Consider the following 24,903-nt stretch of genomic DNA (forward strand, 5'->3'; position numbering starts at 1 on the left):
CGGGGCACAGCTTGGTTTTATACACTTTAGGGAGACACGAGACATCAATATGTGTGAGATGAACACTGGTTCAATACAGAAAGGCAGGACAACTTGAAATGGGGACTTCCAGGCCATAAGTAGATAAGAGACAAAAGGTTGCATTAATTTGGGTCTTTGATCAGCCTTTCACTGAGTACACAATTTACATGTGAGAAGGGAGTGGAGGAATAGTCACTTCGGCCCCAGTCTGCCTCAGTGAATCTGCATTTTTACATAAACAATAAGGCGGAAGAAACAATCAGATACACATTTGTCTTTAGTGAGCAGAGGGATGACTTTCAGTTCTGTCCTTTGTCCCACATCTGTGAAGATAAGCGATCATCAATTTACATTGCCGGGGTGAAATTCAACAGAATTGTTTTAGGGTAAAGATCTTGAGGCCGACAGGGAATTTTCTTGTGGACAAATAGTGATGGAGGTATGTAGCTTTTTACTCTTCGTAGCTATCTTATTTAGTAATAAAATAGGAGGCAGGCTTGCCTGATGCACTTCCCAGCCTTAGTTTTCCTATTGGCTTAGTGATTTGGGGGTCCTGAGATTTATTTTCCTTTCACAGGCCTTAAGCTGTGTTTGTCAGCCCTCACCTCCTGCGAGAGAATGCTGATGGTCACTTCACAATCATTTGTAATTCAAGGTTTATCAAGGGCCCAACACGAACCCATCACTTGCTGCGTGTGATAAACTCTGGGTTGAAAAAGACCTCTTCCCTCCCTCTCAGGTAATTCACAGCACCTGTGAGATCTGGTGCCTCTAAGATCATTCCTATTACGTAGGCAGTGAAACTGGAGCTGGAGAAATGGAGACACTTGTCCCAAAGTCTTGGGGACAGAAGGAGTGAGAGAGCTAGGACTAAGCCAGAGAAAGCACTCTCAACAGCCCCATTTTCTAGTTCAGTTTCATTTGGAGCTTCCATACAGATGAAGAGTGATGTTGTCAGGACAAAATATGGCACATCATGGTGCACTTGTATGAAGAGAGCTACACGATAAAATGGAGTCTTTCATGGAAGACATGCCAGAGCAGATGGGACATGCATGGAAAGTCTGGAGTCCTGGCTCCTCGTCTTTAACCACCTTGGAAGGCAAACTCCCTGGAGTAGAGGCTGTGGGTACTTACATCTCCTTTCTGCTTCCCTTCCAAGACCCCAACCAGGTCACCCCTTTGCTTTGCTTATTACAGGTTCCATGCCAAGTGTCCCAGCAGCTCATGGCCTGGAGGAAAGTCACAGCGGCCAGTCTGAGGCTGCCCATTTCTCATGGGCCTGGAGAAGACCTGTTCTTCCAAGGTCAGAATGAAAGTGATCATGGATGGAAGAGAGGCTCTCCCATGGCCTTGAGCTTTCAGCTGGTCTGGGATTGTCATCTAAACCCTTCTTCACTAGCAGGTAAATTAACCCATCAGGGAAATTTGGCAGCTATTACATTTGAAATGATATTTTTTAAAAAGTGTTTAGTGGTGATTTTAACCTTGGCTGATATTCAAGTAATTTGTCACATACTGCCATGTTCTTACCCATTTGTCAAAGCAATGTTGCAGAGCCATTAGCAAAACTCTCCAAAATTGTGCAGGGTATCAGATGGAGCAAATCAGTCCTGATTAAAAGTGTGATCTTGACTTTTTTTTTTTTTTTTTTTTTTTTGAGATGGAATCTCGCTCTGTCACCCAGGCTGGAGTGCACTGGCATGATCTTGGCTCACTGCAAGCTCCGCCTCCTGGGTTCATGCCATTCTCCTGCCTCAGTCTCCCGAGTAGCTGGGACTACAGGCACCCGCCACCATGCCTGGCTAATTTTTTTGTCTCTTTAGTAGAGACATGATTTCACCATGTTAGCCAGGATGGTCTCGATCTCCTGATCTCGTGATCCACCCGCCTCGGCCTCCCAAAGTGCTGGGATTACAGGCGTGAGCCACTGCGCCCGGCTGACCTATTTTTATAAATGTTAATCAGACCACGACACTCACCTTCTAGAATCCCCCTTCCATCTAGAATAAAACCAGCCTCTTCCCCAGGCATGCAGGCCCCAGGTGACTCAGCCTGGGTCTGCATCCAACTTCATCTCCCTCAACTCCTTCACTGGGCTCTTGTCCTGCCAACCTGTAGCTAGTGGGAGCACTTGGTTCCTCCACGTGACAGCTTTCTTCACTCTTCCCAAACTCAGTTCCCATATCCCCAACATTCGACGTCTGCAACGATCCATTCTCGGTCCCCAGCATGCCCATTGCTAAGAACCAGGTTATTCTCCATCTAACGCATGCTTGTTTAATGCCTACCTCCTGGGACACCTGCAGGCCAGGGGCCATTTCCATTTTGTTCTCTCTCTGTACCTCAGGTCTAATGTACAGCAGGTGCTCGGCAGACATTTGTGGAACAAATTCACTGAAATAATAATGAGTAGGAAATTTACAGAGGACCCTCAAAATAGTGGCCTGTTCCAGAATTTCCAGAATCTAAGGTCACGGACTCAGATCATCAGAGCTAGAAGCAGCCTCAGAGTTGTCAGGTCCAGCCAAAGCTGCCCCAGCTCTGAGGCTTGGGACCTGGCCCAGCTGTCTGCAGAGTCAGCTATGGAAGCAGGGCTGGCCCAGGGCTGGCCCAGGCCTGGAGCGCCTCCTGTTGCTCTTGCCTAGAAATGACGCATCCACAGGGAAACCATTCAGATCAGAGAAGGAGTTCCCAGCAGGTGAGCCTGCCGGGAGCCAACCTCAGCTCCCTGTGGCCACAGTGGTGGTGGGAGGAGGTTGAGGGAGGCTGCCTCCTCCATGCTGGCCACCAGGTCTGCGGCCACCTCCCTACCTCCCATCTAAACAGCATGCACTGTTTGGAGCTGGAAGTGCACAGAAGCCAGTACTGAAAAGACTGCCAGTTTTTGGCTCATGCCTGTAATCCTAGCACCTTGGGAGCCCAAAGCAGGTAGATCACTTGAGCCCAGGAGTTGAAGACCACCCTGGGCAACATAGTGAGACCTCATCTCTACAAAAAAAATACAAAAGTTAGCTGTGCGTGTTGGTGCACACCTGTAGTTCCAGCTACTCGGAAGGCTGAGGTGGGAGGATTGCTTCAGCTCAGAAGGTTCAGGCTGCAGCTCAGAATTCAGCTGTGTTCATGCCACTGAATTCCAGGCTGGGTGGAAAAAAATGATAGTCAGTTCTCAAAAATTCTCTCTTCCTGTTAATTCCAAACAGCACTTTCTCTCTCTGGCTCCCCTCTCTCAGTCGATGTCACTCCTCTGCCTCGGCTGCCTAATTATCTTGATACTCTCAGGGGCCTGGCCCTGGGCACTCTCCTCTTCTTACCTGGTACAGTCTCCCTGGACAATTTCCTCCACTCTTTGACTTAATTAACATCCATTTGCCTACAGTAATTAAATATCGCTGTGGTCCAGAACTCTCAGCTGAGCTGCAAACCTGCAGGGCTGAGCACAGCAGGCCTCCCGGACGTTGCTGCACCAAGATGGTGCTCCCAGCCACCTCCTCCTCCGCTCGTTTTTCTCCTGGCCAATGAGAACTCCAGGGCAACACTTGTCTCCTCCTCCTCCTCTGCCAACCCCCATCCTCATGCCTCAGTCATCAGTCCAGGTTCGCCTCCTGAGTATGCTGGAATTCTACCCCACTCCTCCACCCCCTCTGCTATAACCTTAGCGAAAGGCTTCCTGGCAGTTTTCCTCCCCACACAGTGCCATGAGAGCAAGATTTTACGAAGTCACATTTAATCCCATTTGAAATGGTCCCATATTTTAATGTCGTCTGCAGAAGCAAGTGCCATCTCTGTGGTCTGGTGCATCCTCATCCCCTTGTGCTGCTCTTTTCTTTTTTGCAGTGTTTCCTCTAGGCCGGGGCTGCCTCAGCCCCTCACAGACGTGGAGAGATGGCAGAAGGCGGCCTGTGCTCCCCAAATACACCACGTTCGGCCAGTACCCCAGGGCCTTCGTTCGGGCTGCCCCCCAAATCCACAGCTTCATCCTCTCCCTGTCTGCCTGATAAACACCTCCTCTTTTCTCGAGAGGGTTCAAGGACCACAAGAGTTCTGTCTATGAGAGTTCACTGAGTGCCAGCTGCACAGGGCACTGCGGATGCCTGTCTCAGGACTGGCCTCATGGAGCTGCCACCTCTTTGTAAAAAGGACAGAGACGCAGGATATGCAATTCATTGTGTCCTGAGTGCTGCCCAAGGGAAGCATCAGAGGAGACACCCAGGGTAACCAACCATCCCAACTGGCCCAGATTGTCCCCATTTTAGCAGTAAATTCTCATCTCCTGGGAAATCCCTCGGTCCCAGCAAACCAAGATGGTTTGTCACCTTACACCTTGCAGGGTCAGAGAAGGGAGACCCAGGAGAAAAGTCGGTGTTTGTTAGAGGGCAGGAGGATGGAGAGAGGTTGCAGGCAGACAGAAGTACCTGGGAGAAGCACCTGAGAGAGGTGGGCGGGAAAAGGCAGAAGGAGTCCTGGTCGGGCTGCAGTGAGTCAGGCCTCTCTGAAATGACCTTTCCACCCTCATCCGCTACCCTCAGCTCCCAGAAATAATCATTCTCTCCTCTGAGGCCCTACCGAACACCACGCCTACACCAAACATAGCACATACATTTCATGACATTTTCTTAACTTATTACTTTATTTACTGCCTTTGCCAACTTTCCTGCGAGTGACTGCGGACAGGAGACCATTATCCAATCCCCTGTGTCTCAGAGTTAGCAGTAAGAGCACAGTAAACATTGGGGGGTGTGGGGGGGACGACGCTTCAATCGTGCTTCAGCCTCCCAGAGCACCTTTCACGCATCCGTAAAATCAATGTCGCATCAAAGCAGAACTATTTTTACATGATAAGCAGGGGAGCATATCCTAGCAATGTGTTTCCAAGGCTCCCCGAGACACAGGAGAGCAGAATGGCAGGAGATACCCACAGCCAAGAGTGCATAGAGACAATTAACACACAGCAAGAACATTATCACGAGCCTGGGTTTAAAGGAAGATTCCAGATCAGACTGAGATGCCTTGGGCTTTGCTCTCCCTTTTGCTGTCATCAGACTCAAATTTCCACGAGGACAGAGACCCTGTTGGTCTTGCTGACTGTGTCCCCCAGACCTACAAGAGCACCTGGCGCTTGGAAGACATGCTCAGTCTTTACTCTCTGAAGCCGCTTCAATAAAGCCCTGCTGTGGCAAGTGTGGTCTCTACGGCATTGGTGCCCCTTGAGACTTCAGCCACATCTACTGAATCAGAATCTGCATTTTAACCAGGTTTCTGTGCTATCTCTTAACTTTTCAGAAGGACCTTTTGAAAGGGCTTGGTCATCCCAAGCCAGTGACCTCAGCTGCCTATAAAAACCAATTAAAGGCCAGATGCGGTGGCTCTTGCCTGTAATCCCAGCACTTTGAGAGGCTGAGGAGGGCGGATCACCTGAGGTCAGGAGTTCGAGACCAGCCTGGCCAACATGATGGAACCCCGTCTCTACTAAAACTACAAAAATTATCCAGGTGTAGTGGTGGGCACCTGTAATTCCAGCTACTCAGGAGACTGAGGCAGGAGAATCGCTTGAACCTGGGAGGTGGGGGTTGCAATAAGCCAAGATCACATCACTGCACTCCAGCCTGGGCAACAGAGCGAGACTCTGTCTCAAAATAAATACATAAATAAAATAGGAATAAAAACTAATAAACCCAAGGCCTCCTTGCTTATCTGGAAAACACTTCTTCATCTTTGGAAACCCTGCTCAGGAGTTCCCCTTCTGAGAAACTTCACAAACATCACCCTTTCGCCATCAGGGTTGATTGCTCCATCTGCCAGGCTGTGCTCACCCCGCCCTGCGTTCTCCATTCTGTCAAGGCATTTATCATGCAGCAACACAATCTGCTTTACACGCCTGTCTCCCCACCAGATGGGTCAGCCAGACTGATGTCTTTGAAATAAGAAAAGGAATCTTATTTATCTTTGCATTCCAGGTCTGTTCCCACATGGAACCGAGTGTGATCAGTCATGTGTGTCGGCCTGTGGGCTCTCCCTTTGTGTCCCACATTCTAGAATCCCACACTTCACTAAAGAAGGTCTTCCCGGGCTGGGCGCGGTGGCTCACGCCTGTAATCCCAGCACTTTGGGAGGCCGAGGCGGGTGGATCACAAGGTCAGGAGTTCAAGACCAGCCTGGCCAAGATGGTGAAACCCCGTCCCTACTAAAAATACAAAAAAATTAGCCAGGCGTGGTGGTGGGCTGTAATCCCAGCCACTCGGGAGGCTGAGGCAGAGAATTGCTTGAACCCGGGAGGTGGAGTTTGCAGTGAGCCGAGATTGCACCACTACACTCCAACCTGGGCAACAGAGCAAGACTTGTCTCAAAAAAAAAAAAAGAAGGTCTTCCCTCACTTCCTCCCTCTCTGTCCCTCCATTTCTTCCTCCCTCCTTTCTTCTATTCCTTCTTCCTTCCTTCCAATGGAAAGGTAGAAACTCAAGAAAACATTTATTTATGTGAGCTAGGTACGAAAATTACTTGGTACCATTGCGATGGGATAGAACACATATTTAACATGAATAAGGAGATTCCCAAGATGATTTATGAAGGCATGACAGGAGAATGGCATGGCATTTCCCTGGGCTGCCCAGATTTCCTAGCCATTCCTAGATGCCGAGGATGCGGCCACTCTAACCCAGCAGTCATGTTGCCTCATCCACATGGACCTCTGAGAGTGCAATAACAAAATCTAGGGATTCAAGTCAAACTTGCTGGATGTGGCCGGGTGCGGTGGCTCACGCCTGTAATCTTGAAACTTTGGGAGGCCGAGGCAGGTGGATCACCTGAGGTCAAGAGTTCAAGACCAGCCTGGGCAACATGGTGAAACCCCTTCTCTACTAAAAATACAAAAATTAGCTGGGCACAGTTGCATGTGCCTGTAATCCCAGTTACTCAGTAGGCTGAGACAGGAGAATCGCTTGAGCCTGGGAGGTGGAGGTTGCAGTGAGCCGAGATCGCACCACTGCACTCCAGCCTGGGTGACAGAGTGAGACTCCATCTCAAAAAAAAAAAAAAAAAAAAAAAAAAATTGCTGGATGTGACATGCTTCAGTCCTTAAGTAGATAGGTACGTCACCTGCTTAGACTGTGAACTCCTTAAAGACACGTACTCTGCCTTAGACACATGGATGTCTGTGGTGGTTCACATGGTACCCAGCTCAACAAATACTTTGTTAACCATGAAATCCAGAAGAACATCACAAAGGTGCCCATCTGCATGCAAAGCAGGTGGATGCAGGGCTCCAGCTCAAGCACAGCTCTCTGTGTGTACCCCCCAGCAAAGACTGCACCTCGTTAAGCTGCGGGTTCATTGACTGGATGTGACGCGATGCAGCTGACAGCAATCTCTCATCACCTCCAAGGTCATGTACATGGACAGCACTAGAAATACGCCAGAATTTTGAGGATCTTTTTCAATTTGCCGTCTTCTGCCTGACGTGCTGGTGAAATTGAAATTGCTGAAAATTGATATGAATCAGTAGGGCATTAAAATGTTGTTAACTGAAGTATGAGAATGGTCACGAATAACTATTGTTATTATTTAGGTTTTTTTTTACACATTCTGTAAACTCAAAAGCCTCTAGGAAAAGTAAAATGGAACAGGTCTCATTAAACACATCATCCAACCATGCAGGGTGGGTTTTTTTTTAACCTCTTAAGAATATCCCCCAAAAGGCCTTTTCTAACTAATACAATTAATTTGACCACTGCTTTATAGCCCGTAGGAAAGTAAATCTGGTTATGCTTCAGGATTATCTGGGGAACCTGACTCAGCCCTGAGTGGAACACAGTGGGTAAGCCAAGCATGGCCTGAATTTCAGCCTTTATTGTCTTCCCCTGCCAGGTGCCTTTGTGCAGTGCGCAAACTTCACAACTGTACATGGCAGCTCTGCAATGGAGTCCCCCCAGCAGATTCTGATTTGAAGCGTCTTGAGAAAACTTAGGACCAATAATTTTAGGAAGTTTCCCAGGTAAGTCTAGTGCACAAGCATATTTGAGAACCAGCACTTTATTTCGTATTTCCCCAGCAATCATGATTACAGTGTATCTCTGTATTTATGTACCAGTGCATTATTACAGCACTCTAGTAGTTCCTACACATGGAAAGATAAATGGAAGGTATTATTTGAAAATTTGCTACTGTGTTGTACAAAATACCTCGAGTCAGTATCGTGGCTGAAGAGCACTGATATGTGTGTCATTGGATGCTGACGCTGACGTGAACTAACTAGGCTTGTAAAAGATCTGGCATCAGCATCCCTTCCAAGCCCCAGGCACATATCACTCTGGGTAGGAGCCTTCTTGGCCCCACTCAGCACAATTCTTGCAATGCCCTGCTTTGCAGCTGTCTCTGCGCACCAATGGTCACCTGGAGATAATTAGGTAAAATGAAGTCTTGTGAGCCTCCCAGCAGAGCAGAAACCATCCCTAATTACAGGAACACACTATGTTTTTCTCTGCCCTAATGCACGTTGAACTTAAAACACAATTCCTTGAAAAACTGTAGCCTGCTCTGATAGTGGGAATGCCAATAGCAGAGTCCTTGTCCTTTAGCTTCTGCCTGCTGTGGGCAGCAATGGCTGCTGGGTGAATCATATACCCGGCAGAACTCACTGGCAGTGCTGTGGACCCAGGGGGGCTCTGTCAGTGGTCAACAACAGTGTAATTGAAACGGGAGTGAGGCCTGAATAAGTTTGGCTGCCTGTATGTTGCCAGAAACACTGCTCTTCCAGAGTAGATGAATGCCATCTAGCTTATGATGCAAAGAAACATAGGGGTGACTCGTGGCAAGCTCAGGCGTCTTCCCGCCATGGGTGTCAAAGGCACAATCACGTCTCACTCATGATCAACCGGAATCATATAAGGAACTTACTATCTACATCAAATTTCATCTAGAAAAGTAGTCTGGAAGTCTGATGTGCATGCACTTACTTTACTGAACGTCCCCTGCTCCACTCCTGGCTGCACACAGGCCCCTCTCTGTCTCAGTCCCTGACCTCATGAGCCCTGTGGTTGTGGCACCTCTCCGTCCAGGCCCCTGAGTGCCCCCTACTCTTGTCTCTACCAGCAAACATCTTCTAACTGTACATTCCCTTCCTCTAGAGGAGCCCAGAAAGGGTCTCTGGAGAAGTCTGCCAAATGTCTGATGCTCCAGGAGGCCCCTGCTAAACTTTTTCTGCCTAATCTAAGCTCACCCACCTTACCTTAAATGCGACTTTTCACTTTTCTCAGGACAAAAATGATAATAACAAAGTAAGACTGTTAACTGCCGTTCTCAAGCAGTTTTAACCAAGAACTGGGAGTGCCTTCCTCACAAAGATAAATCTTACATTACTGTCACATAAGGAACAGAACGTTTAATAGCTACTGATATGGTTTGGCTCTGTGTCCCCACCCAAATCTCATCTTGTAGCTCCCATAACTCCCATGCATTGTGGGAGGGACCTAGTGGGAGATGACTGAATCATGGGGATGGGTTTCTTCCATACTGGTCTTGTGACAGTGAATAAGTCTTACGAGATCTGATGGTTTTAAAAAGAGGCATTCCCCTGCACAAGCTCTCTCATTTTTTGCCTGCCACCATCCACGTAAGACGTGACTTGCTTCTCCTTGCCTCCCGTCATGATTGTGAGGCTTCCCCAGCCACGTGGAACTGTAAGTCCAATTAAACCTCTTTCTTTTGTTAATTGCTCAGTCTCAGGTATGTCTTTATCAGCAGCATGAAAATGGACTAATACACCTACTGAGTCCCAGTAGGAAATCTTCTGTCCCCAAGTGGTACCGGCTTGCAGTTTAAAGTTGCTACTAAAGAAGAGAGAGAGAGAGAGATCTGTCTTTTAATCCCAAAACTACACATGAGTTATGATTGCATGTCATTATTGTCAATTCCTTCAATCAAAGGACAAGTTATAAAATGTGCCAGGATAGCACTCTTCGCCCCCAGATCTTGGTTTCTAATACCATTCTCCAACCAAAGGAACCAGGGATCCAGGGAAAAATGAATGCTTCTAGGGCTGGGGCAGGAAATAAACAAGGTGAGCCTGGAGTACCTTGTAATGCCAGAAAGTAAGAAAGTGCTTAAAAAAAAACAAAAAGTAATAGTAATTATAGATAAAAAGCAGCCATTGATGTCAAAGGGGCACAGGAGCCCAGGAGCTCACTGAAAGAGCCCCCAGTGGCCAAAGCTGGAACAATTCAAACAACAACATCAGTAAAGCAGTATTGGATTCTAAACCAAAGTGTAAGGTAAATATTCACAAATCCTTGCCTACATAAATGATCGAGTAGATTAAATAAATTAGGGAGAGAAGACATTCTCCTGTATAGAAAAATTCCAATTACTGTGTAGACACTTCATCCTACAGTAAAGGGAAAACGTAACTCCTGATTCTTCAAGGGTGGGCCACACATAGTGATTTCCTTCAAAGAGTTTGTGATGGAGGAGGTGCAATAAAGCTGACTGAAGTCTATCTACTGATGCACATGGAAGCTGTGGAAATGCCTCATGTAGTGCTTACTGGTAGCAGAGACAGTCTTCCCTCAGATCAGGTCTGTGGAATGGCTGTTATTCTTGGAAACTTAGCCTCAAGTCCTGTTCTCTATGCCTCCTCATGACTCTGTAAACCCCACAATCTTTTGAATAAACTCCTTTTATTTAATTAGCTAAAGCCATTTTCTGTTGCATTTAACTAAAAACGTTGATACATTCAGCTAGAAAAAAAGTGAGCACAGAAGGATAGCAAGGCACATGGGAAGTTATAATGAGCTCAGAAATTAATATAAACTATGGTAGTAAGTATGACACATTATGGACTATAAAAATGTGTGTGTGACACATTATTGACTATAAAAATGTGTGTGACACATTATTGACTATAAAAATGTGTGTGACACATTATTGACTATAAAACTGTGTGTGTATGTGTATGTGTGTGTGTGTGTAAAGAGGATAAAATAAAAAGTCTTAGGATGATAATAGGAGTGTGGGGTTTTTCAGTGGGTAGACGCATGACAAAATTCTTGCAGAAATTTGAGGAACAGAGATAGTAATTACTGTAGAATTTGCTAGGAAAAAAATGAATAGTTAAAACTTTAATGGTAACCATTAAATCAATGAAAATATAATCATGGCTTCTTCATCAACAGAGGATAGAAGTAGGACAGAGGGGTGGATATAGAAAATTTCATTAATCTAACAAAAGGAAGGAAAGGGTAAAAAGAAAAGAAAAGACAAAAGATGGTAAGTAGAAAGTGCACCATCTGATGGGGGAAATGAGTCTAAAAATATCATAAACTCAATAAATATAAATGGATTAGACTCACCAATTAAAAAACAGAGACTATCAGGTAAGATATTTAAAAATCTAGCTAACACTACTTATAAGAAGCACATAAAGACGTATAAAACTACATAGAAAAGTTTAAATCAAAAGATAGGAAATGGTATACCTTACAAATGCTGACAAAATTAGGATAACAATTAAAGAACAAATAATATTAGACAAAATAGAATTTAAGATAAATAGCACTAGTAGAGATTAAGGACACTCTATATTAATAAAAATAACAATCCAACCAGAAGAATCATAATTTTGTTCTTAGCAATACTGCCTTGAAATATGCCAAATTTTAAACCATTGAGAAAGATTTCAACACATTCATATTAGAAATTAACATATCAACTATATGAGACAAAAATTAATAACCAGCAAAAGTAAAATATATATAATATATATGTAGAAAATGTCTCATCACACCAAAATATAGAAGATATATTCTTTTCAAGAAAAATTAATCATGGCTTAAAACACAAAGAAATTGCCAATACATTTCATGGCATCGATAAAATACAGATCATGTTTGCTAAGCATAATTCAACTACATTGAAAAACAACAATAAAAGATAATGGAGTAGACAACACTTTCTGCTCTCCAGATATGGAGATACTTAAAAATACATTTATTAATAACTCACAAATTAAGGAGGAATTCATAATGCAAATTACAGAGTATCTAGAAATGAATAGCATGAAAATGCTGTGGACCTCAACACATGAAGGCTCTAGTTAAATTAGTACTTGGGGTTTAGATTATAGCCTTCATGTATTTATTAAAAACAGCTTTTTTTTTTTTTTAACAAATGAGTTCATTCATTTTAAGTTTAAAAAGAAAAATTACTAAAGCCTAAAAATGTTACAAGAAGAAAATGACAAATATAAAAGCAGATATTAACAAAATGAAAAAGAAACAATAGAAGATCAGCAAAGATCAATTCCTTAATAAGCCTATAAAATAATATTAATCATTAAAACAGGAGAAAAGCGGCACCAACAAGAGACAGGGAATAAAAATGGGGCTATAATGACATGATCAGTTATTTAAAAACCCTAAGAGGCTGCTATATGCAACCTTATGCCAGAAAATTTAAAAGCTTAGTAAAAACAGAAACATTTCAAGGAGAACACAATTAAAACGTAAAGACAATCCACAGTATCCTAAAAATAATTTAAATTAAAAATTTTAAAACAAAATAAAATAATAAAATTGAGAAAAAACAAAAAGTGGAGAAGAAGGCTGGCGGTTCCCTGGTGTCTCATCATCTCATAGAGCAGAGCACTGGGGACAGGCCGATGCTTCTGGATGTGCAGAGGGTTCAGGTTCTAATGAGGCACCTGCCTCTTCTTATAATACCTTGTATGGAGCAGGAGAAAAACCATCAGGTGGGTATGTATAAACAGAAAAGGTTTGGGTGCCAGGCTCTTACAGGATACAGGCCAGCTGGACAGGAGTTTTGGGAAGGCACCTGCAGCTTGCTGGTTTCTTATACTACCCCAACAGGAAAGGAACCCCCATCGCCAGGGAGATTGACTTCAAGCACAGACCCTCCCACTGAGAAGGGAGAGTGTCAGTCATTCTGGTGTTAGGCAACCTACACTTTGGAAGCAATTCTGCTTGTTTCTCTTCAGGTTACCAACACTGATTCACAAAGAAATAGGAATTCTCATTAAAACCATACACACTGAAAACAATAAATTAACTTGTAGTCAAAAGATTCCTGCTTAAAGAGACACACACACAGTAGGATTGGATGGGTTTATGGTACCTTTTGCCATCCCTTCAAAAAATAACTATCTTAAATAACTGTTTAAGTGATTAGAAAAGGAAGGAAAGCCTCCAAAACTTGTTTGAAAAATCTAGCAAATATCCTTTTCACCAAACTGGACTAGAAGAGTATAAGAAAAGGAGAAGATAGACCAGCCTGTCATTGCATCCATAGATACAATAATCTTAAACAAAATGTTCGCAAATCAAACTCAACTTTATATTTTAAAATAATGCATGTTTATTCTGGGAATGTATAATTTTCAAAAACAGAAAAATTGTTATTATAATATTCCATATTAAGAGAATAATGAGAAGAAAACAAAGGAAAATCTCAATAGATGTACCTAGGTCAGTCACAAAAGTCAATACCAGTTTATGATCTGAAAACTCTCATGAAATTGGGAAAAAGAAGAAACTTGAAAAGCCTACGGCACACACTAATCCTAATGGTTAGCGTCTAGAAGCATTAGCACCAAAGTCAAGAACAAGGGAAGGATGGCCTCTGTCGTCATGTTGAAACCCGCCTCTGCAAAATTATGACAGACAGTGAAAGAGATCTAACTTAACTGACTCCATCTTCCTTCTAACCTCCAAGCTGTCCTTATTCATTCCTGGGCGTAGGCTAAACTAACTTTGGGAGAAACTTAGTTTATAGTTCATCATGTAAACAAAGACGGTAACAGCCCTTTCCCAAAGCAGACCTCCTTCTTGCCTGGGGACTAGGCTGCCTTTGTAGCACTAACATTAGCCACAGATTAGAAATTATGGTTTAGGAGTCGTGCAGCTGGAGGCTACAAGATTCTGACCCTCCCTAAACTGCTCCTAAGATCAGTGCTTGAGATATTTTGCAGACCTTGCACTTGATGGATCAGCTGGCACCGCCCAGATCAATAAACTGGCTCATCTGATCTTGTGGCCCCCACCCAGGAAACAACTAAGCCCAAGAAGACAGCTCCGACTTCCTATGATTTCTCTGACCAATCAGTACTCCTGGTTCACTGGCTTCCTCCGACCCACCAAGTTATCCTTAAAAACTCTGCTCCCCAAATGTTTGGGGAGACTGATTTGAGTAATAATAAAACTCTGGTCTCCCACACAGCCAGCTCTGCATGAATTACTCTTTCTGTATTGCGATTCCCCTGTCTTGAATACTCTTTCTCTATTGCAATTCCCCTGTCTTGATGAATTGCTCTGTCTAGGCAGAGGGCAAGGTGAAGCCCTTGGGCGGTTACAATGTTCACCAAAAATGTTCTGTAGTCACTAGCTAAATAAGAAAAGAAAAAGAAATAATATGTATACGAATTAGAAGGGAAGAGATTATACCATCTTTATTTGCAGATACATGATCTTTTTGTAATATAAAATACTTAACAGAATGTCCAGACAAGCCATGAAAACTAATACAAGAGTTTGGCGGCCAAGTGCAGTGGCTCGTGCCTGTAATCCCAGCACTTTGAGAGGCTGGGGCAAGAGGATGTCTTGACCCTGGGAGGGGGAGGCTGCAGTGAGTCGTGATTGCACACCACTGCATTCCAGCTTGGGTAACAGAGTGAGACACTGTCTCAAAAAAAAAAAAAAAAGAGTTTGGCAAGGTTGCTGGATACAAAATCAACATTTAAAAAGCAATAGCATTCCTCTATCAGTAAATAAAAGTAGAACATGCAATAGGAAACCTCTGGACTTCTGGTCATGGGGAGGAAGTGGTCCAGGATCACCCTCCTGCAGTAGACAACTAGAGAACCGAACACACAAAAAGCACAGCTGTCAGACAATGAACAACACACAGCACAGGAGAAAGGGCAGGAAGTGAGACGGGCCCTATCCTGGCCTAGGCTTTCTGCCTGGAGAAGTCCCTGGACTGTGGCTTATGGAGGGGACCCACACAGAATCTAACATTCCTGCTGCATTGAAGATACATACAACTGGAGTTCAGAGACTATGAAGACACTAGAATCTGTGGGCCAGAGAACCTGAGAGAAAGAAGCTATGTACTCTTAAAAGAACTCAGAAATCTGCATGGGGTCCCCTGAGTCTTTGGTTGAAAATCAAACTGCACATACATAGAGTGAAACTCCCAAGACTGGACAGGAACAATTTCTGAATAAAGAATAATTTACAAGGAGTGATGAGAAAATTCTATGAGCTTATGGGGTGCCTGAGACCTTTCAAGTTTTCTCTAGCCAGAGTGGAGAGACTGTTGAACTCACAGGGCTTTCAACAGAGATCCTGGCTAGGCTGTGTCTTTTAAAATGGAGCTTAATTAGCCCTGCAAAGAAGGTGTCTTTAGACTCTTCCCAATGCAGCTTAGAAACAAGCCATGGATGGATCATTCATCCACTAAAAAACTGATGGCCACAAATTGTCCAATCTTCTGCTAAGGAATACAAGAAAATCCAGCACTCAATAGCATCTGGGAGGAAAGTGCCTATACCTCAGAGAAGCTGCGGGGCCCAGCCGGCAGTAGCAGCAGAAGCGAGGAGGGCCCATACGGAAATGGATTCAAGGGCTTTTGATCAAGGGGGATGGATTGTAAGGTTGGATAACGAAGAGTTAGTTGATTTGGCAGCATTCTCCATAAAAACAGGATGCAATACCTTGGCAAGGACTTCGAGTAACGGCATAAATGTGCGGTCTGGATGGCTTGTGGGAGCACAAAAACACAGTGGGCTACACTAAGTCAGGTAGAAATCTCAGAATTCCTGTGGCAGGTGATAGAAGAGAGAAGTGGGTATGCTAAAGGGTATATAGCACCTAAATCCAGAAAACCTACCAGAGTACTGTGTGCCCAGAGAGGCACCCAGAGGGTACACAATTCAGCAAGGCTGTAAGAAATGTGCTGGTATGGGGGACACCAAGGATGCTAAGAGCAGAGGTGATTCTCCTCTGTATGCAAAGGCTGGTGGTAGGAGATGCCGTTAGGGACTGGGCTCACCCGCAGCAATGGGAATGACAGGATCCCAAAACAACAGTGGGAAGGTGGCAACACCTTGTCATCGGAAGGCAGGTGGATTAAATTATCATGAGCGTGTTGGAGGGTAGCCAGAGGGGCCTGGCTGGCTGAAAGTTATTGAGATGTTTATTTGAATGTGGCTTCCCAAGGGGAAGATGACTAGGCAGCCAACAGGGGTAATATCAACCTATACAATCAGAAGAATCAAGACTGATGACCAGGAGGCTGAGATAATTGATCTTTGTAAAGTAATATCCTTTACCTGGTACCCAGTTTTAGGATTAATGGGAAGGTCGGCCCCTGGAGAAAGGACCCTGCAACATCATAGCAAATGTTCATGAAAAGGAGTCCTCAGTCTTTCCCTGCAAGGACCTGTGGCTGTTTACCTTGGTCACTGCACAGTGTGGAAAGGGGAATACAAAACATTAGGTACTGTTAGAGACAGGGTCCTGGTTGACAATGATAGCAGCGTCATGGTACCCTCTCAGGGGGCCACGTATTAAGTGGAGTCCTGGCCCTGGTTTAGCTCATGTTACAACCACTGAACTACAAATACCTGCAGTGGTCATTAGCACAATTCCTACACTGGTTTCTTGGCCTAGGGATAAGAGCTATTATAGTGGGAAAAAGCAAATAGAAACCCCTGAAACTGGCCTCCTTTCCCCCACCCACTCACCAGCCAATATAATTAATCAAAACCAATATCACATCCTCAAGAGAATGGTAGAAATTAGTGCCATTCTTAAAGAAAAAGTACAAGGGGGTGCTTCATTATGCCTCCTTACAATTCACTAGTCTGGCTCCTAATCCTAGAGGTCAACAGTGAATGACAAGAAACTCAACCGCATAGTAGCCCAGTGGCAGTTGCTGTGCCTGGTGTAGTATCTTTACTAGAGCAGACTGACATAGCCTTGGGCACATGGTGTGTGGCTATTGATCTACCAAATACATTATTTTATCCTTATCAGAAAATCAGATCAGAAATATTTTGCAGTCACTTGGAATGAACAAGAATGTACATTTCCATGCTTGAATAAGGGCTGTGTCAACTATTCTACTCTCTCCTTAATGTAATCTAAGAGACACAGGCCTACTAGTCACCTTTCAGAACATTCTGTTGGGCTACATTATGAATAAAGTCATGGTAATTTGACTGGATAAAAAAGAAGTGGGCCAGGTGCGGTGATGGCTCACCCCTGTAACCCCAATACTTTGGGAGGCCAAGGCAGGTGGATTACCTGAGGTCAGGAGTTCAACACCAACCTGCCCAACATGGCAAAACCCCATCTCCACTAAAACTACAAAAAATGAGCCAAGCATGGTGGCAGGCACCTGTAATCCCAGCTACTAGGAGGCTGAGGCAGGAGAATTGCTTGAACCCAGGAGGTGGAAGTTGCAGTGAGCCGAGATGGCACCATTGCACTCCAGCCTGGGCAACAAGAGTGACTCTCCATCTCCAAAAAAAAAAAAAAAAAAAAAAAAGTGGCTAGGATATTGGAGACTTTGGCAAGACATGCATTCCAGAGGGTGGGAAAGTAACCCTATAAAGATTCAGGGACTTGTTATATGGGTTACCTTTTTAGGTGACCAATGGTATGGGGTATTCTAGAACTTTCACTCCAGGTTAATGTACAGATTAACATACATTATCCTCCCAAATACAAAGAAACATAACACCTGGAATTTGGGCACTATTGACATAATATTTCTCAGCACATATACCTACATACCGGCCAACATGAAAACCTCCCATCTTCCTCTAGACCAAAAAAAAGGAATGATATAATTTATTAAAAAGACACCAAAAATTCCACTAAAGGAACATCAAAAGATAGATACATTTGATTACATTTAAATGAAAACTTCTGCACAAAGCAAATAAAGTGAAAAGATAAGCCAGGCTCAGAAAAGATATTTGCAAAAAATAAAATCAAGTAAAAAGTTTCAATAAATCAACAAGAAGAGAAAAACAACATAATAGAAAAAGTGCAGGCTGGGCACAGTGGCTCACGCCTGTAATCCCAGCACTTTGGGAGGCTGAGGCGGGTGGATCACCTGAGGTCAGGAGTTCGAGACCAGCCTAGGCAACATGGTGAAACCCTAGCTCTACCAAAAATACAAAAATTAGCTGGGTGCGGTGACGAGTGCCTGTAATCCCAGCTACTCAGGGGGCTGAGGTAGGAGAGTTGCTTGAATGTGGGATGCGGAGGTTGCAGTGAGCCAAGATTGCATCACTGCACTCCAGACTGGGCGACAGAGCGAGACTCCGTCTCAAAAAAAAAAAAAAAAAAAAAAAAAAAAAATAGCAAAGAACATGAATAGGCAGTTCCCAGAAGAAAAAACTTAAATGAAAAAAACTTGTATTGGCAAAAATTAACTAGATTGATATGATAATGCATGTGTGCAAATCTAGAGCAACACAAACCACAAACTATACTTTAAAAGATGAGATAGCACTATCAAGGAAAATGAACAATACTCACTCACCGGGCCCTAAAATTCAATTTCTGGAACTGCAGCCTAGAGGACTTTTCACATGTGTGGATGGATAAGGACAAGAAGATCACCAAAGCCATGCTTGTGATGGCAAATAAGACCTACCTCCATCAATCAGAAAACGTATATGTAGTTGTCATATAGTCATATAATGTACTTACTATACAGTAGCAAAATCAAAATGAATGAGACTGAGCTACACCTATCATCATGAAGAAATATAATTTGATCAGAAAAAGCAAATTGCAGAAGGATATGCAATATCCAGTAGAGATGAAGACGACGATAGTGGCAGTAGGGCATTGGTTATATCTCTGTTCGCTCATGAATTTTTTGCAACAATCCTGTGAGATAAGCACTTTAATTATTTCCGTTTTAGAGATGAGGAAATTGAAGCATGTTGAGGTTAGATAATGGGTCGGAGAGTTACGGAGCTAGGAAATGACATAGCCAACACATCCTGTGAGTGTGAGTTTATGATACTCACACAAAAGTGTAGAATTAGTGAGTCAAGGGGTATACATAGTTTACATTTTAAACGATGTTTCTAGATTACATCTTTAAGAGGTTGCAGTATTTCACACTCATACTAGCAAGAAGGAAAGAGTATCTTTCCCTTCACTCTGCATAATACTGGCTTTTATCATCAATAGGTAAAAAATAGACTTCTGGGTTTAATTTGAAAATTTCAGACGATAAGGAAGCTGTTTACAGAGGGTTTGGATTTCTTCTGTATATCACCTGCTCATATTCATTGAGCATTTTTATATTGGATTGTATTTGTTTTGTTCCTCAAGTTATAGCAGACTTCTTTATATTAGTAAGATGAATCCTGTGTCTATCATATCTTGCAAATTGTTCTCTTAGTCTATAGTCTGATTGTTTAATTCCTTAATGGTTATTCTTGCCATATTTACATTTTTCTTTTCTTTTTTTTTTTTTTTTTGAGATGGAGTCTAGCTCTGCTGCCCAGGCTGGTGTGTAGTGGCGTGATCTCAGCTCACTGCAACTTCTGCCTCCCAGAATCAAGTGATTCTCTTGCCTCAGCCTCCTGGGTAGCTGGGACTACAGGCACACACCACCATGCCTGGCTAATTTTTGTATTTTTAGTAGAGCTGGGGTTTCACCATGTTGGCCAGTCTGGTCTCAAACTCCTGACCTCAGGTGATCCACCCGCCTTGGCCTCCCAAAATGCTGGGATTACAGGCGTGAGCCACCACGTCCAGCCCATGTATACATTTTTCACTTCCTATGCAGACCATTTGAATCTGGCTTCCACCTTAATTATTTCACGCAAATTGCTGCATTCAAGGTTCCCAACAACCTCCATATTACCGAATTTAGTGTCCTCATCTTGCTCAACCCAGTTATAAATCCTCTATTTAGCCTCTCCAAATCTTAGATTTTTCATTTGTAAATAAGAGACAACACCACCAGCTTTGCAAGCTCGTTGTTAGGAAATGCTTATGCATAGCTTGTAGCACAGTGCCCACTGTTATTACTGGCCGAAAGCCTGACCTCCCACTTTCTGCCTCAGCACCTTGGAAAATTGCTGCTAATCACAGGAAAAAGCAAGACGCAGGAGTGAGCAATAATGCAAGCCTGGTGTGCCCTGGGGACTGTGCTATTCACACCTCGTAGACTTCCAGATGTAAAGAGCAATCTTAACAATCATGAACATCATGAGATTTATTGAGAGTTTACTATGTCCCAAACACCTTGCTGGGTGCCTTCTAATAAAGGATGCAATACACACAGAGCACTTAGCCTGTCTGGCCCGTAGGAAGTGCACTATGTCATCTCACTCTCATCTTCACTGCTGCCGTCATTTTAGAGGCTGCATCTTATTAGGCAAGGCCAGCAGAGTTCTCCTCCACCTCCAGGCAAATGAGTGGACCACATGTGCATCCTGTCTTCCATCAAGGGGCTTGGAAAAGCCTTCTTCACTCCAGGAAGAGTCAGCAGGGACCATATGGAACCTCACAGAAAGTTCTCCCCATAGGAGAAGGCTTTTCTGCTAAGCCTTAGCTAAAGACTAGAGGCCAATGGGCAGAACACTGGCCAGGAAACCTTTTGCATTTGCCCTCCCCACCCCTGGATTGGCCTAACATTGAAAAGTCACAGCATTTCACCTGGAAACTGGAATTTTCCACTTCTGTGGACAAGTCAGACAAGGAGCTCTGACCGTCCTTCCAGCCAGCCAGTGGTTCCACTCATTGCAGATGCCTGCCTGGCCCTAAAGGCATTTGGGTTCCGACCTCTGACCCTGAGGCAGGAGAACAGGGCCTGGAAGCAGGGAACATAAGGCTAACCCACGCTGACTTCCTAGGCCGGGTATGGTGGCTCATGCCTGTAATCCCAGCATTTTGGGAGGCCAAGGTGGGTGGATCACCTGAGGTCAGAAGTTCGAAACCAGCCTGGCCAACATGGTGAAACATCATCTCAACAAAAATACAAAAATTAGCCAGGCATGATGGCAGGTGCCTGTAATCCCAGGCAGGAGAATCACTTGAACCCAGGAGGCAGAGGTTGCAGTGAGCTGAGACTGCGCCATTGTACTCCAGCCTGGGAGACAGAGTGAGACTCCATCTCAAAATAAAATAAAGTAAATAAATAAATAAATGAAAGCACTTCAGCAATGACAGGAATGTGAATTGCTTTGAAACTTCACTTCATCCTCCATTTACATAGACCACACATACAAAGTAACATCTTCTCCATTTATAACAGGGCGCATTCTGAGTAAATGACTCTGTAACTTCACTTCATTCTCTTCATTTACATAGAACATACACCGAGTAACCAATGGGAAACCTCTAGAGTATTGAAACCGCAGAAAATTATGTAACCAGAGCTCTTGACCCCCTCTTCTCAGGCCCACTCCCACACTGTGGAGTGTACTTTCGTTCTCAGTAAATCCCTACTTTTGCTTTCCTTGCTTTGTTTATGCATTTTGTCCATTTCTTTGTTTGAGACGCCAAGAACCTGGACACCTTCTACCGGTAACAACCCCAGCTCCCTGCCCTCAAAGAAGAGGTCTCGATATAACAGACATACTCCACGAAACAGAGGGATTGTTTTCAGAAAACCCCCACTCAGTATTCTCTGTGTGACTCAAGAAGACGCAGCTCTTGTTTAATTCTCCAGGGTAAGATAAGGATAGCTCAGTCCTAGGAACAAGTTCATAGATAAAAAGAACAGAGACAGATATTAAATCCACACCAGAAGGGAAAAATCAGGCTCATTGTTGAAGGAAATCAACTCAGTAAAGCTGAAGATGAACTTGAGTGACCTTATACGATCACAGAGGAAATGAATAAAAAGATTAAAAGATAAGAAAAATAAGATAATAGAAGCAGAGGACTCACCAAGGAGATCCAATCCATGAATAAAAGCTGCTCCTGACAAAGCACGCCCTGGAAATTAGAATGAAGCAACAATAAAAGGTATTAGAGAAAACTTTTCTGACCTGGAAATAGACTTGCCCGCCAGGGCAGGGGCCCGCAGTCCCCAGGCTCCATTAATGAAGAGAAATGGGCATGAAGACAAGGCTGGCAATTTTTTATAATTTCAAAATTAACAAAAGGATGCCTTTGAATTTACCCTTGAGGAAATGAATGTCAGGTAGGTTGGACTAAAATTTCTCCCCTGCCATATTAAACACCAGGAGATAACAGAAAAGCATTGGTAGAGCTGAAGCTAAAAGTGCCTGGGCCGGGAGTCACAGGCCCTGAGTAGACACAGCATGGGGCTCATTGTTCAGCTTCTCCGGGGTAGGCAGAAAGGCCATTTCATTAGCGTGCCACTAAATTTGGCAACTTACACAGGAAACACCTCCTGATGACATGTACCCTGGATGCAGTTCCAAGAGGGAGCCTAGGAAGTCCGGACTGAGGATGACGGATGGCCTGACCTCCCCTTTGACTGATGCTGGGATCTGATGGCACCTATCCACAAGGTCAGCACAGTCCTTGGGACTGGTAATGAAAGTTGCAAAACTTATGTCACAGGGAGCACAAAGCTAGTTTCCACTGACATCACTGGGTAAGCATGCTGATGTGCCATAATGAACAGGACACTTGGTGGGTAGAGTTTCATCTGGGCACACCACACAGGCACCAGGGAGTGCCAACTACTATGATATGGTTTGGCTGAGTCTGTACCGAAAGCTCATCTTGAACTGTAGTTCCCATAATCCCCGTGTGTCATGGGAAGAACCCGGTGGGAGGTAATTGAATCAGCATGGTTACCTCCATGTTGTTCTCAGGATAGTGAGTGTATTCTCACGAGATCTGATGGTTTTATAAGGGGCTTTCCCCCCTTTTCTCTGCACTTCTGCTTGCTGCCGCCATGTAAAGAAGGAACGTGTTTGCTTCCCCTTTGCCATGATTGTAAGTTTCCTGAGGCCTCCCCAGCCATTCTGAACTGAGTCCATTAAATTTCTTTCCTTTATAAATCACCCAGTCTTGGATATGTCTTTATTAGCAGCATGAGAATGGACTAACACACCCTGCAAATTCTGAAGGAGCAGGCTAGATGGAGAGCAACATCACCAACTCCCAGCCCCTGCAGACTTCGTGCTCTGTGGCTTCCTGAGTCTCCTCCAGGGTGTGAGCACTCACTTCCATCCTGGGGCCCCCGTATCCTTGGGCCTGTCCTCTAGAGGAGCCAGAAGACTGTAGCTCACTTGCTGGGTTTCCCTCTGTGTGTTCCACAACATGGATGTTCTTACCTTCCACCTGATCCTCTTAGACTCAAGGAACAGGTCATTTGCTTGGCTTGTGACTGGAGGGCACTAAGGCTCTTTGGGTTTGTCCATGAGGCAAAATTTCAACGATCAGCCCCTGAGTTTGGGCCATCACCAATGTCTCCACCAGCTGAGCATGAGCCTGTGGGGTCCACCCTGGCCTTATGCTCTATGTTGCCTGATTGCAACGTCAATGTCTTCAAAATTCCCTCTCATGGGAGCACCACCTGCCTGTCTTGCTGTTTATATGTGACTGTGTTTCAAACTCCATCCTGTGTTGATATTTTTCTAATTTAAAATGTTTCACTTTGAAGGTTTATTTTGGAGGTAGAAAAAGCAATTGTGCACTGAATATAATTAAGCAATGGCATATTGATTTACCCACCACTATAAATATGCTTCAATTCTCACTTACCATGTTAGCTCCTAATGAGTTTATCCTTAAATAGGTATTTATTGACATCTTGATAGCAACTATATCAAGGTGCCCAGAGACCCATCCAAATATGTGCCAAACTGAGCTTAAGTTATTCATAATGCAGCTATCACCTGGGTGCTGTGTTGCTTGCTATCTTTATGAAACAAATAGGAAAAGGATTGGAATTCAAGGAAAGAACCAGGTTCTGTTTTCCATATATCATAAATGAAACAGTACTTCTAACAAAACCAGGTCTATTCTGACAGTTAACACTCATGTCCCACAAGCTGTGTGTCATTTAATAAATAAACTGCTGTTCTTTGTAATGAAGCCAAAATAATGGTGAGAAGCACAGTTATAGCCCCAGAAATAAGGCAAGGAAATGTTAATTACAAAGCAGTTTACATGGTAACAGCTTGATAAATGATGCTGAGAAAAATGACCTTCTTGCTCATTCTCCTTTGTCTCTGCTAAAGAAGAGAGACTTAGAGATTTGAAATGGCAACCTGACGTCTCATTTTTGGTGTCAGGTTGCCCTTTATAAGTTTCTCCTTATAGACCATCGTGTTGGTGGTGGGAACAACACAGTAGCTGGAGACAAGAAAAGAGGACACCTAGAGGAAGAGCTATTCCGAGTCCCTTCCCGCCTGCTTCTTCCCCATGCCACCCTCTCCCAGGGATGGCAAGGTCAGGACTCCTCCATTCCTGGGGTGCTTTAATACTTAGAGGACTGAGTCAATAAGGGGCGTGGCAGTCCTACATGGACAAAGTGTGGCATGTCAGCTCTAGGACTGGGGCGTGGTCACTGGGGTGTCCCAAGGTTATCATTCCCTGTGCTGAAGCTTCCATGGAACAAGGAGGCTCTCAAGAATGCTCTGCTCTTCTTACTGGAAGCTCTGAGGGGGTGTCGGCTGCCATTTGCCCTCCTTTGGAGTTTGTATTTCCAGATGTCTGAGCTACTTGCTGCATGGCAGCCCACATCCACGTTTCTCCTCTGAGGCCACAGGTTTTAGATGAGACAATTCTGTCTGTCCCAGACTCCAGGACTGGAAGGTGGTACCTAGAGGAAGCCAGTCAGCACTTTCCAACCCTGGCATCAGTGATTGGCTCAGAGGTGGACATGTGACAAGAACAGGCTCATCAGGAC

At 44.2% G+C, this 24,903-nt stretch overlaps 1 long non-coding RNA gene across 1 annotated transcript in view, besides 2 other annotated features; it reads right to left on the minus strand.

The window, feature by feature from the left end:
- LOC105373936 (uncharacterized) overlaps positions 1-24,903 on the minus strand; it is a 36,506-nt gene that overhangs the window by 4,998 nt on the left and 6,605 nt on the right. Inside the window, exon 2 of the long non-coding RNA XR_923998.3 lies at positions 21,960-22,007. This is a non-coding gene — a long non-coding RNA (uncharacterized LOC105373936). The remainder of the gene's footprint in view (positions 1-21,959; positions 22,008-24,903) is intronic.
- Positions 2,321-3,272: an enhancer, noted in NCBI's record as "H3K4me1 hESC enhancer chr2:235512165-235513116 (GRCh37/hg19 assembly coordinates)". NCBI's record gives its function as "activates a minimal SCP1, AML or CMV promoter by ChIP-STARR-seq in naive H9 embryonic stem cells {active_cell/tissue: H9 hESC(naive)}" and the evidence as "EXISTENCE:reporter gene assay evidence [ECO:0000049][PMID:30033119]".
- Positions 21,589-22,788: an enhancer, noted in NCBI's record as "BRD4-independent group 4 enhancer chr2:235531433-235532632 (GRCh37/hg19 assembly coordinates)". NCBI's record gives its function as "activates an origin of replication core promoter dependent on BRD2, P300/CBP, MED14 and CDK7 cofactors, and independent of BRD4, by STARR-seq in HCT116 cells {active_cell/tissue: HCT116}" and the evidence as "EXISTENCE:reporter gene assay evidence [ECO:0000049][PMID:35650434]".

Source organism: Homo sapiens, chromosome 2 (genome assembly GCF_000001405.40).
Source record: "Homo sapiens chromosome 2, GRCh38.p14 Primary Assembly".
Taxonomy (NCBI): Eukaryota; Metazoa; Chordata; class Mammalia; order Primates; family Hominidae; genus Homo; species Homo sapiens.